The sequence below is a fragment of the Homo sapiens genome, chromosome 2 (assembly GCF_000001405.40).
Source record: "Homo sapiens chromosome 2, GRCh38.p14 Primary Assembly".
Classification (NCBI taxonomy): Eukaryota; Metazoa; Chordata; class Mammalia; order Primates; family Hominidae; genus Homo; species Homo sapiens.
The window spans coordinates 153394820-153408784 of NC_000002.12; the positions used below are offsets into that span (position 1 = coordinate 153394820).

Sequence of the window (13965 nt, forward strand, 5' to 3'; positions counted from 1 at the left end):
ATTACATCACACATTCCATGGGTCAGGATTCTGGCACGTTTTCGTTGTGTAGTCTGCTCAGGATCTCACAAGTCTGGGAAATGAATATGTTGGCCATATGTGTCCTCCTCCAGAGGCTGAAGTAGGGAAAGATCCGATCCCAAGCTTTCTCACTTTGTTGGCACAATTAACTTCCTTGCAGTTGCATTACCGAGGTCCCTGTTGTTTGCTGGCTGTCAGCTAGAGACCACTCTTAGATCCTAGACACCCTCAGGTCCTTGCCGTGGGGCCTCCTTTGGAGCTCTCATACTTCTCATTTCTTTCTAGTCCACTATGAAGAGATCATATACAATTGAAGGTAATCACAAAGTGATTATCCCTTCACCATTTTCCATGCAACATAAATTGGTCAAGAGAGCAACTATTCCATCATATCCACAGGTTAAATTGGCAATCAAAGGCAAAGAATTATACCAGGTGTGGATAACAGAGAATGAGTATTTTGAGGGTCAGTTTAGAATTCTGGCTACCACATGGAGTCACGGTTGTACAGAATAGATAGGGGAAGTTGAGGTAACAGATCACATGACGTTTCTAATCTAGCTGTTGTGATCCTTTCAAACGAATGCTGAAGACCTTGATACCTGGACCTCCAGGGATATCCAGGGGTATTCCATTTGGACACCCTTCCCACTCTGTTTCTTGCTTCTTATTTCCAGAAACTCACTCTTGTAGCATTTTCCTTTTTATTATTTTAATGCTTTTCTCTTCTTGGCAGTACCAGTTTAAGAGTTTCTATATAGAAAAAATGTGTAATTATGATGTGGTTGTAGATGAATGTTTCTGGGCATATGAGACAAGTAGGCTTGAATCTTCATTGGGAAATGTTTGTCTTAGTTGAAAATTTGCGAAACCTCTGTTTCGCATTTCAGAAAAGGATCAGGTGATGAATATTTCAGGGAAGAAGTCAAGGGATTAACAAGATCATATTTGCCTTGAGAATTTCTCTGGGCCTAGTGAAGAATGGACTAGGGTGGGAGTGTGTGTAAGAAGGCAGATAGTATTACTGGGTTAAGGGAGATTACTCACAAACTATTGCAATTGACCAGGGGTCAGCAAACATTTTCTATAAAGAATAGATGGTAAATATTTTAGGCTTTGTGGTCCAGATGGTCTTTGTCACAACTATTCAATTCTGATGTTATATTGTGAAAATTGCAATAGATGGTATGTAAATAAATGGGTGTGGCTCTGTTTCAATATAGCTTTGCTTACAAAATCAGGCAGCAGGCTAAATTTGGACCACTGTTTGTAGTTTGGCAACCCCTATGATAGACCATTACTGTACTAAAGCAATGACAGTGGGACTGGACAGGAGATAAAATTGATTGGCTTAATTACACATGTTTTGACTTATATTGTACCAGGTGCTCTGCTAGGCACAGGGAATATGTAGTGAATAAAAGAGACAAAAATTTTTGCCCAAACGGAGTTTTCATTCCAGGAAAATTTAAAATACAAAATCCTACCATGTAGTTTACCTATTAAATGGGAAAGGGAGACAAATACTTTGGGATGGGAAGGGGGATAGAAAATATGTATTTTCACAAAAATTCTTTGTGGGAAAGTGCTGGTCAAGGATTGTGATAAAACATGAGATTAATTAGAGAGCACTTCCTCAATTACACATTGACTCACTTTTTTTTTTGGTCTATAAACATATGTTACAGTGTGTTTTCTGCGCAATGTAATGTGTATAAAATAATCAGCATACATAAGCACACATAATAGTTCTATGTGAGTAGTCTGGAGCCCCAGCCAGAGACATAATTTTGTACAGGATGAATAATGTGACCATACAGTGACTTGTACAAGAGTCACATATCAAAGGATAATAAAATGATGCTCCTATCATAGATATTAAACATGCAACTCTTCCTCTGGGTCAAGTTGCAATTTTCACAGAAAGTCTGGATGATGTTTTTGTCCTTTTATGGAAAATGTGAGGAGAATTTCAGTTTATTAGGAACATTTGATTCCCTCTTTCTTGTTGACCTTTGCCAGCCATTTGTGTTTGTCTGGCTTCACATTCAGGCAGCCAGGAGAGGCTTCTCCCAGCAAGTGATGCAAAGAAAGTTTGTTTCCAACAAGGACATGTGTGGGGTCTGAGTACCACAAAAAATGATGATGTGAAATGATGGCAAGCTATGATGGAACAGTGAATTGGGAGTTTGTTTTGCCACCATTTTCATCCTCTAAAATACGTTTAGAAAGCAATCACAGGCTTAATGATTGCTTCTTCTATAAGTATATAGTTAGTTATATTTACAACATCTAACCAATGGCACTGTAACCAGCATCTGCTGTAATGACAAATGCCTTTTAAATTGTTAGTATCAGAAAGTAAAAGGATGTTTCTTATTTCTGGTTGTGGGAACTTTATTCTTCCTGTGTCTCCAGGGTGTATGTTCAAATCTATGCATTTTACATAGCATACATGTTCAACCTAAGGAGAGTTCACATATTTTATTTTTATTTTACTGATGATAATGTGCTATGTTCTATGCCTTAATGCAGACCATGGGAAGAACCACTATGAATCAGTAAGAGCCTCCATGGCAGGATTGTATTCACTGGTGCACTGACTTTTCATGAAAACCAATGAGACCACAACGTACGATCTGATATTTTCAGAGTGTGGGGAAAGTCTAGAGAAAGATTTATCTCACTCACTGATTTTTAGGCTCCAATATTTTAACTAGATGTTACCAGTCTTGCATCCGTATTTGGAATTAGGTATGAGAGATTCATGCTTTGTTGTCGGGAGGGAAGGAATGTCTATGAAGGCAAAAAAAAAAAAAGTATCACCAAGGGGGAGGGTTCAAAGTGGAGAACTAAGAAAAGCAGACAACATCTGCTGCTCTAGTTGTTAACTGCTGGTTGGTATCCAGTGTCTATTCGGTCTTCCATCCTAGCAGAACTCCAATTTACTGACGTTTCCACACTTCTCTATATGACTCAGAGAATTTCAGTTTTGGATTTTGATTCATCTATAGGTTTTTGAAATTTCCACTGACTTACCTGAAAACTTGCTGAATACATAGGTGAACAGATTTTTTTTAATTTATTTTTTATTATTATACTTTAAGTTTCAGGGTACATGTGCACATTGTGCAGGTTAGTTACATATGTATACATGTGCCATGCTGGTGTGCTGCACCCACTAATTCGTCATCTAGCATTAGGTATATCTCGCAATGCTATCCCTCCCCCCTCCCCCTACCCCACAACAGTCCCCAGAGTGTGATATTCCCCTTCCTGTGTCCATGAGATCTCATTGTTCAATTCCCACCTATGAGTGAGAATATACGGTGTCTGGTTTTTTGTTCTTGCGATAGTTTACTGAGAATGATGATTTCCAGTTTCACCCATGTCCCTACAAAGGACATAAACTCATCATTTTTTGTGGCTGCATAGTATTCCATGGTGTATATGTGCCACATTTTCTTAATCCAGTCTATCATTGTTGGACATTTGGGTTGGTTCCAAGTCTTTGTTATGGTGAATAATGCCGCAATAAACATACGTGTGCATGTGTCTTTATAGCAGCATGATTTATAGTCCTTTGGGTACATACCCAGTAATGGGATGGCTGGGTCAAATGGTATTTCCTGTTCTAGATCCCTGAGGAATCGCCACACTGACTTCCACAATGGTTGAACTAGTTTACAGTTCCACCAACAGTGTAAAAGTGTTCCTATTTCTCCACATCCTCTCCAGCACCTGTTGTTTCCTGACTTTTTAATGATTGCCATTCTAACTGGTGTGAGATGGTGTCTCATTGTAGTTTTGATTTGCATTTCTCTGAAGGCCAGTGATGATGAGCATTTTTTCATGTGTTTTTTGGCTGCATAAATGTCTTCTTTTGAGAAGTGTCTGTTCATGTCCTTCGCCCACTTTTTGATGGGGTTGTTTGTTTTTTTCTTGTAAATTTGTTGGAGTTCATTGTAGATTCTGGATATTAGCCCTTTGTCAGATGAGTAGGTTGTGAAAATTTTCTCCCATGTTGTAGGTTGCCTGTTCACTCTGATGGTAGTTTCTTTTGCTGTGCAGAAGCTCTTTAGTTTAATTAGATCCCATTTGTCAATTTTGGCTTTTGTTGCCATTGCTTTTGGTGTTTTGGACATGAAGTCCTTGCCCATGCCTATGTCCTGAATGGTAATGCCTAGGTTTTCTTCTAGGGTTTTTATGGTTTTAGGTCTAACGTTTAAGTCTTTAATCCATCTTGAATTGATTTTTGTATAAGGTGTAAGGAAGGGATCCAGTTTCAGCTTTCTACATATGGCTAGCCAGTTTTCCCAGCACCATTTATTAAATAGGGAATCCTTTCCCCATTGCTTGTTTTTCTCAGGTTTGTCAAAGATCAGATAGTTGTAGATATGCGGCGTTATTTCTGAGGGCTCTGTTCTGTTCCATTGATCTATATCTCTGTTTTGGTGGCAGTACCACGCTGTTTTGGTTACTGTAGCCTTGTAGTATAGTTTGAAGTCAGGTAGTGTGATACCTCCAGCTTTGTTCTTTTCGCTTAGGATTGACTTGGTGATGTGGGCTCTTTTTTAGTTCCATATGAACTTTAAAGTAGTTTTTTCCAATTCTGTGAAGAAAGGCATTGGTAGCTTGATGGGGATGGCATTGAATCTGTAAATTACCTTGGGCAGTATGGCCATTTTCACAATATTGATTCTTCCTACCCATGAGCATGGGATGTTCTTCCATTTGTTTGTATCCTCTTTTATTTCCTTGAGCAGTGGTTTGTAGTTCTCCTTGAAGAGGTCCTTCACATCCCTTGTAAGTTGGATTCCTAGGTATTTTATTCTCTTTGAAGCAATTGTGAATGGGAGTTCACTCATGATTTGGCTCTCTGTTTGTCTGTGGTTGGTGTATAAGAATGCTTGTGATTTTTGTACATTGATTTTGTATCCTGGGACTTTGCTGAAGTTGCTTATCAGCTTAAGGAGATTTTGGGCTGAGACAATGGGGTTTTCTAGATATACAATCATGTCGTCTGCAAACAGGGACAATTTGACTTCCTCTTTTCCTAATTGAATACCCTTTATTTCCTTCTGCTGCCTAATTGCCCTGGCCAGAACTTCCAACACTATGTTGAATAGGAGTGGTGAGAGAGGGCATCCCTGTCTTGTGCCAGTTTTCAAAGGGAATGCTTCCAGTTTTTGCCCATTCAGTATGATACTGGCTGTGGGTTTGTCATAGATAGCTCTTATTATTTTGAAATACGTCCCATCAATACCTAATTTATTGAGAGTTTTTAGCATGAATGGTTGTTGAATTTTGTCAAAGGCTTTTTCTGCATCTATTGAGATAATCATGTGGTTTTTGTCTTTGGCTCTGTTTATATGCTGGATTACATTTATTGATTTGCGTATATTGAACCAGCCTTGCATCCCAGGGATGAAGCCCACTTCATCATGGTGGATAAGCTTTTTGATGTGCTGCTGGATTCGTTTTGCCAGTATTTTATTGAGGATTTGTGCATCGATGTTCTTCAAGGATATTGGTCTAAAATTCTCTTTTTTTGTTGTGCCTTTGCCTGGCTTTGGTATCAGAATGATGCTAGCCTCATAAAATGAGTTAGGGAGGATTCCCTCTTTTTCTGTTGATTGGAAGAGTTTCAGAAGGAATGGTACTAGTTCCTCCTTGTACCTCTGGTAGAATTCGGCTGTGAATCCATCTGGTCCTGGACTCTTTTTGGTTGGTAAGCTATTGATTATTGCCACAATTTCAGCTCCTGTTATTGGTCTATTCAGAGATTCAACTTCTTCCTGGTTTAGTCTTGGGAGAGTGTATTTGTCGAGGAATTTATCCATTTCTTCTAGATTTTGTAGTTTATTTGCGTAGAGGTATTTGTAGTATTCTCTGATGGTAGTTTGTATTTCTGTGGGATCGGTGGTGATATCCCCTTTATCATTTTTTATTGTGTCTATTTGATTCTTCTCTCTTTTTTTCTTTATTAGTCTGGCTAACGGTCTATCAATTTTGTTGATCCTTTCAAAAAACCAGCTCCTGGATTCATTAATTTTTTGAAGGGTTTTTTGTGTCTCTATTTCCTTCAGTTCTGCTCTGATTTTAGTTATTTCTTGCCTTCTGCTAGCTTTTGCATGTGTTTGCTCTTGGTTTTCTAGTTCTTTTAATTGTGATGTTAGGGTGTCAATTTTGGATCTTTCCTGCTTTCTCTTGTGGGCATTTAGTGCTATAAATTTCCCTCTACACACTGCTTTGAATGTGTCCCAGAGATTCTGGTATGTTGTGTCTTTGTTCTCATTGGTTTCAAAGAATATCTTTATTTCTGCCTTTATTTCGTTATGTACCCAGTAGTCATTCAGGAGCAGGTTGTTCAGTTTCCATGTAGTTGAGCGCTTTTGAATGAGATTCTTAATCCTGAGTTCTAGTTTGATTGCACTGTGGTCTGAGAGATAGTTTGTTATAATTTCTGTTCTTTTACATTTGCTGAGGAGAGCTTTACTTCCAAGTAAGTGGTCAATTTTGGAATAGGTGTGGTGTGGTGCTGAAAAAAATGTATATTCTGTTGATTTGGGGTGGAGAGCTCTGTAGATGTCTATTAGGTCTGCTTGGTGCAGAGCTGAGTTCAATTCCTGGGTATCCTTGTTGACTTTCTGTCTCGTTGATCTGTCTAATGTTGACAGTGGGGTGTTAAAGTCTCCCATTATTAATGTGTGGGAGTCTAAGTCTCTTTGTAGGTCACTCAGGACTTGCTTTATGAATCTGGGTGCCCCTGTATTGGGTGCATATATATTTAGGATAGTTAGCTCTTCTTGTTGAATTGATCCCTTTACCATTATGTAATGGCCTTCTTTGTCTCTTTTGATCTTTGTTGGTTTAAAGTCTGTTTTATCAGAGACTAGGATTGCAACCCCTGCCTTTTTTTGTTTTCCATTTGCTTGGTAGATCTTTCTCCATCCTTTTATTTTGAGCCTATGTGTGTCTCTGCACGTGAGATGGGTTTCCTGAATACAGCACACTGATGGGTCTTGACTTTTTAATCCAATTTGCCAGTCTGTGTCTTTTAATTGGAGCATTTAGTCCATTTACATTTAAAGTTAATATTGTTATGTGTGAATTTGATCCTGTCATTATGATGTTAGCTGGTGATTTTGCTCGTTAGTTGATGCAGTTTCTTCCTAGTCTCGATGGTCTTTACATTTTGGCATGATTTTGCAGCGGCTGGTACCGGTTGTTCCTTTCCATATTTAGCGCTTCCTTCAGGAGCTCTTTTAGGGCAGGCGTGGTGGTGACAAAATCTCTCAGCAATTGCTTGTCTGTAAAGTATTTTATTTGTCCTTCACTTATGAAGCTTAGTTTGGCTGGATATGAAATTCTGGGTTGAAAATTCTTTTCTTTAAGAGTGTTGAATATTGGCCCCCACTCTCTTCTGGCTTGTAGGGTCTCTGCCGAGAGATCTGCTGTTAGTCTGATGGGCTTCCCTTTGAGGGTAACCCGACCTTTCTCTCTGGCTGCCCTTAACATTTTTTCCTTCATTTCAACTTTGGTGAATCTGACAATTATGTGTCTTGGAGTTGCTCTTCTCAAGGAGTATCTTTGTGGCGTTCTCTGTATTTCCTGAATCTGAATGTTGGCCTGCCTTGCTAGATTGGGGAAGTTCTCCTGGATAATATCCTGCAGCGTGTTTTCCAACTTGGTTCCATTCTCCCCATCACTTTCAGGTACACCAATCAGACGTAGATTTGGTCTTTTCACATAGTCCCATATTTCTTGGAGGCTTTTCTCATTTCTTTTTATTCTTTTTTCTCTAAACTTCCCTTCTCGCTTCATTTCATTCATTTCATCTTCCATTGCTGATACCCTTTCTTCCTGTTGATCGCATTGGCTCCTGAGGCTTCTGCATTCTTCACGTAGTTCTCAAGCCTTGGTTTTCAGCTCCATCAGCTCCTTTAAGCACTTCTCTGTATTGGTTATTCTAGTTATACATTCTTCTAAATTGTTTTCAAAGTTTTCAACTTCTTTGCCTTTGGTTTGAATGTCCTCCCGTCGCTCACAGTAATTTGATTGTCTGAAGCCTTCTACTCTCAGCTCGTCAAAGTCATTCTCCATCCAGCTTTGTTCCGTTGCTGGTGAGGAACTGCGTTCCTTTGGAGGAGGAGAGGCACTCTGCTTTTTAGAGTTTCCAGTTTTTCTGTTCTGTTTTTTCCCCATCTTTGTGGTTTTATCTACTTTTGGTCTTTGATGATGGTGATGTACAGATGGGTTTTTGGTGTGGATGTCCTTTATGTTTGTTAGTTTTCCTTCTAACAGAGAGGACCCTCAGCTGCAGGTCTGTTGGAGTACCCTGCCGTGTGAGGTGTCGGTATGCCCCTGCTGGGGGGTGCCTCCCGGTTAGGCTGCTCGGGGGTCAGGGGTCAGGGACCCACTTGAGGAGGCAGTCTGCCCGTTCTCAGATCTCCAGCTGCGTGCTGGGAGAACCACTGCTCTCTTCAAAGCTGTCAGACAGGGACATTTAAGTCTGCAGAAGTTACTGCTGTCTTTTTGTTTGTCTGTGCCCTGCCCCCAGAGGTGGAGCCTACAGAGGCAGGCAGGCCTCCTTGAGCTGTGGTGGGCTCCACCCAGTTCGAGCTTCCTGGCTGCTTTGTTTACCTAATCAAGCCTGGGCAAAGGCGGGCGCCCCTCCCCCAGCCTCCCTGCCACCTTGCAGTTTGATCTCAGACTGCTGTGCTAGCAATCAGCGAGACTCCCTGGGCGTAGGACCCTCCGAGCCAGGTGCAGGATATAATCTTGTGATGCGCCGTTTTTCAAGCCGGTCGGAAAAGCACAGTATTCGGGTGGGAGTGACCTGATTTTCCAGGTGCTGTCCGTCACCCCTTTTTTTGACTCGGAAAGGGAACTCCCTGACCCCTTGCGCTTCCCAAGTGAGGCAATGCCTTGCCCTGCTTCGGCTCGTGCACGGTGTGCTCACCCACTGACCTGCGCCCACTGTCTGGCACTCCCTAGTGAGATGAACCCGGTACCTCAGATGGAAATGCAGAAATCACCCGTCTTCTGCGTCGCTCACACTGGTAGCTGTAGACCGGAGCTGTTCCTATTCGGCCATCTTGGCTCCTCCAGGTGAACAGATTTTTATTTTGAAATTCTAATCCACAAATTAGGTCCAAGTTTGGGTCTCAGAAATCTGTGTTTCTACCAAACACTGCAAATCTCCCCTTTCATTAGGGAAGTTGTAATAAATACTGATGTAGGCTCATTGGTGTGTGGCAAACCATAGTGGCTTGTATCAGTCCAGGAGTGGGTTAGTGACTTAAATTAGTCCGAGGTGATAGATGGCAAGGTCTTATAGTTCAGGGTTTTTGAGAGAGGATTTTCTTCCTACTGTTTTTCCTGAACAAAGACACGTACAGCCCCAGTTATTGGTGTCAGCCATTTTATGAAAGTGAGGAGAATTAGCCTTAGGATGAAGAAAGTGTGTGTTTGTGAGAGCAGAAACAGAAAATGAATCAGAAATCTTAATAACAAAATGAGCCATCAATCAACTAAATCCAATGCCTGCACTGGCCCTGGACTTTTATTATGTGACAAGTGGTTTTCTTATTTGTTAAGCAAGTTGTATTTCCTGTTCTTTGCTGTTAGAAGCTTTCTAATTTCACCTAATTGTGATTTTTTTCAAAAGATTTTTTTTTTACTTTAGAAAAAAAATCTAGGAAAAGTATTTCCCAATTTTCTGCTATTATTAAGTAAAATTAAGGTATTAGTCTACATCATTTCTCTCTGATAATAAATTTGGAATCCAGGAAGGAACAATCAATTTTTTGCAATTATGTGACGGATACCACTTCAGGATCAATATCTTCAACTCTTATGTCTTTGGTATTAATCACTAGGAAAAAATAAATTATTGGTTAATAAATGTATAGAAGTATGCATATTTGAAAGTAAATTCAGTAAACGAGACTGGCTAAATGCTAGGGTATTCAACATTCTAGTCTATAGTTGTAAAGTTGAGAATTAATTTTCCCATGGAAAAATGAAATGAAATATTTTATTAAAATATTCACACATATATGTGATGCTCATTTTAGCTGTGGGATAGGCTTCCGGGCAAAGCCTCTGTTGGCTCTGGGTGGGACAGGTGTCACATTTCCTGCAGATATCCAATTGAATTTGGGTGCTTACATACTACTGCTAGCCAGAGCTTGTGGTGTCCTTCCTTTTAAATGCTGTTTTGTATCCAGTAGGTTACACATAAGACTGGTAAGTTTCTCCAGAAGTAAAAAGGGACTAGAAACTCAACCTTCCTCCCCATAAGTTTTATATATAAATATACATTTGCTGGATGAGAGTGGCAGCTGTTAACATATTGCAAGAAAGACAATAGAGTTTCTAAATAAGGAGTCTGAACCTATGTGAAGATTTGGAGGCAAAGCCTAAGGTTTGGAAAGGAATTGTGGTTCCCTATTCCATGTAAAACTGGCACCAGGACTTAATTTAGTCAGCCTGACTGCAAGAATGCACCTTAGGGGAAATGCATGCACAGGCATGCACAAGTGTGTGTGCCTGTGTATCTTCATGCCTTTGCATCCATAGGTAACCTATAACACTTTGGGGCCTGTGCAGCTTAGTGAAGGACACTCTGAGCATAGCAGAAGAAAGGCTCCACAGGTATCCTCAGTTGTTAGCTAAAGCTGAACTATTTTCCACGCAATTATCATTGAGACAATTGTTTTGGAGCCCAACCTCAGGGAGTTTAAATTCCTACTCTATCAATGAGTACTAAGGGTGACCAGAAATGATTTATAGGTTGGAGTCTTAGGAACAGTAACAAATTGAAACTGTAAGAACATATTAGAATTTCTGCTAGTCAAACAGGATGAGAGAAACATAAGATTTTGAAGGACTAATATAAATATCTTATTGCTATTATAAGCTGATAAAACCCAGGACATGCTAATTATGCTTACAGGACAAGGTGGCATATATGAACTGCCCTGCCTAGAACTTTCCCCCAACTCAGTCCTTAAAACTTACCCCAGGAGCTAATAGAATGTTAGATGCAGACTGGCAAGCAAAGATTCACTCACCAGAGTTAGAGAGCGCTTCGTAGGGTTTCAGGTGTGAGGAAAGTAGGATTGGCAGGTGAGCTAAACAAGCAAAAGTAGTACTTCCCTCCCTGATCCCTGAACTAGAGAAAAGAGAAAGTTGCTAAAGACAAACTGTTACAAGAAGCATATGAACCAGGCGTCCTTGAATAACTTCTTTCCTAACCCCACCAATAGCACTGGAATACAGAGGAACACAAAAAAATTTTCCCTGTGATTTGGGGAATTTCAGTGGAACTTTGACATTTTTGAGGGTGGCTTTTGTGTACAGAAAATATAACTTGGAGGCTTCTTTATCTTTTAAAATTATTACTTATTTCATTGATATTTCAGATTAAGTCCTAGTTCTTCCTTAAACTTTGAAGTTCAAATTTAAAATCTTATTTTATTTATTTATATGTTTATTAATAGCTCAAATTTTAACATCACTCTTAAGAGAGATTTTACAATTTGTTTAAATTCTCTATTTTTTTTTCTTTTGTGGGGGGCACTGAGTCTCACTCTGTTGCCCAAGCTGGAGTGCAGTGGTCCGATCCTGGCTCACTGCAACCTTGGCCTCCTGGGTTCAAGCGATTCTCGTGCCTCAGTCACCTGAGTAGCTGGGATTATAGGAATGCACCAGCACATCAGGCTAATTTTTGTACTTTTGATAGAAAGGGGGTTTTGCCATGTTGGCCAGACTGGTCTTGAACTCCTGGCCTCAAGTGTTCTGCCTGCCTCAGCCTCCCAAAGCCCTGGGATTACAGGAATGAGCCACCATGCTGGGCCATAAATTCTCTTAAGCATTTTAAACAGCATTTACAAATTTAGTATATTTAATTTTCTCTTTAAGTAGTTCGTCCAACAAGTGAATTTTCTCAAAGTACCAAAATATATCTGGTAAATCTAATGAATTGAACTTAGTAATTAATTATAATAATGTTTAAATCTCTTAAACATTCTAAACTGTTTTCACATGTGGTTGAACATTATCATTTTCAGCTTAAAACTGTAAGTCTAAATCAATAATTCAGATATATAAATTGAAACATAAGTCTGATCTTTTAAGTGTTCTAATATTCTAAATTATCTTAAATATTAAGAACAATTAAAACAATAAATATATAAAGATTATTCCAAAAGCTAACATAAAATATTTCTATTATCAGTGTTATTTTCATTTCCATTTCTAGTTTTTATTTCTCAAAACCTGGTCTCATAACTTGCAGTATCAACATCACCTGGGAAATTGTTAGAAATACAAATTCTCAGGCCCTACCCCAGCCCTCCAGAAACAGAAACTCAGGATGGGGCCCAGCAATTTGTGTTTTAATAAGAGTTACAGATGATTCTGATGATGCTTAAGTCTAATAACTATTGCATGTTTAATTCTAAAGCACTTCAAGGGTAAGGCATTAGTGACATAAAAATAAATGATCCTACAATTTGAGGTTGCCTTCTCAAATAGCTTTGGGGTTAAATGCTCAACTGGCTGAAGTTGCATATTAATGTGAGATTTTTGGCCAGGCAGGAAATTTGGGGCATTAGACATCTCAGGTGATCTTTCTTGTGATAATATTTAGGGACCTCATGTAAAATACTCTATGATTCCCAAACATAGTTATTGCATAGCTCACATCTGCTAGACCCAAATCATATATAACTTATTAACCAAATCTAAGTCTGCAGCTCTCACCCGAGCTGCATCACTGCTTGATTAGATTTAGATAAGTTGTTTCTTGCCTGATCCTAGTCTGATTCTTTTTATGTACTTTCTTCCCTGGTGGAGCTACAATTTCTATAGGTTCGTAAGTGATGTCAACTTTAATTTTAATGTAATATCCACTTTGATTCTGTCTATCTCTAAAGATGTGTCTTTCTGGACTCAGCATAAACATCATGCTAATAGCAGGAAGATTAAACATTAAGGGGTAGGGGTAGGCTTGTGTGCCACTTTTATCTAAAATTTAAAGTGGGGTCTTGCTGTAGTTACTCATACCACAAGAATGGAAGGGGCACTAGCAGTAGAGCTGGTGTCATAGCATCGAAATGCGTGATTTACAGTAAAAAATAATGAGAATGGTAACCCCCCAGAGTAGTGCAACAAAGCAGCTCTACATCTGAGCGGGAGTGGATAGGAGACTTCAAATTTCCCTTCGCTCCTAATGAGCCCCCAGTGGGTGTTAGAATTAGCTGAGAGAGCAACTATAGAATATAGGTTACCAGAAGAAGGTGACAATGTTACAGAAGCAGAGGAGTGGACCATGAACTGTGGGTTAGAAAGAGACTATGGCTCATCTCAGGGTTCCAGGCCAGGGAGCTGACTTCTGGTTGCCAATAGAGGAAGAGTGGAGGGGTTGCTTTCATACTGAGTAACACCTGTGCAGAAGAGCTGACAAGATGAGATACATCTGCAGAAAATGACCGGCATATGATCAAGCTACACCACCACCAAGTTGAAGGAAATAAAACAAGAAAAAATAAGCAAAACCCACGAAGAAGTATAGAAGGAAGGAAGAGAGTAAGGGAGGGAAGAAGGAATGAAGGAGAAAATAAATAGCAAAAATAGTCCTATAACTTTCAATAAAGACTTTCTTACTTTGGCAATCAAAAGGGACCCTGGCTCACTGGCTTGCTCCCACCACTAAAACTGAAATGATTCTACACGATTGTGCCGATTTACTCGCAGAGCTCAGAGCCCACAGTTGGTGTTTTTTGTTGTTGTTGTTTTTTGTTTTTGTTTTTGTTTTTTTTTTGCTAAGGATGGGCCTTTTGCAAAAAAGATGAAGACAAATGCTAGGGAAACTCATACTGATTTGCTAAACTAATTAGCCTATTGTGATGGTTAATATTGAGTGTTAACTTT

The 13965-nt window shown here is 39.6% G+C and overlaps 1 protein-coding gene across 2 annotated transcripts in view, besides 2 other annotated features; it reads left to right on the forward strand.

Annotated features, from left to right (window-relative positions):
• The window catches only part of GALNT13 (polypeptide N-acetylgalactosaminyltransferase 13), a 1388282-nt gene that overhangs the window by 326527 nt on the left and 1047790 nt on the right, over window positions 1-13965 (forward strand). The gene's annotated exons all lie outside the window — the stretch shown is intronic.
• Window positions 8317-8975: an enhancer, noted in NCBI's record as "OCT4-NANOG-H3K27ac-H3K4me1 hESC enhancer chr2:154259650-154260308 (GRCh37/hg19 assembly coordinates)". NCBI's record gives its function as "activates a minimal SCP1, AML or CMV promoter by ChIP-STARR-seq in primed H9 embryonic stem cells {active_cell/tissue: H9 hESC(primed)}" and the evidence as "EXISTENCE:reporter gene assay evidence [ECO:0000049][PMID:30033119]".
• Window positions 8976-9633: an enhancer, noted in NCBI's record as "NANOG-H3K27ac-H3K4me1 hESC enhancer chr2:154260309-154260966 (GRCh37/hg19 assembly coordinates)". NCBI's record gives its function as "activates a minimal SCP1, AML or CMV promoter by ChIP-STARR-seq in primed H9 embryonic stem cells {active_cell/tissue: H9 hESC(primed)}" and the evidence as "EXISTENCE:reporter gene assay evidence [ECO:0000049][PMID:30033119]".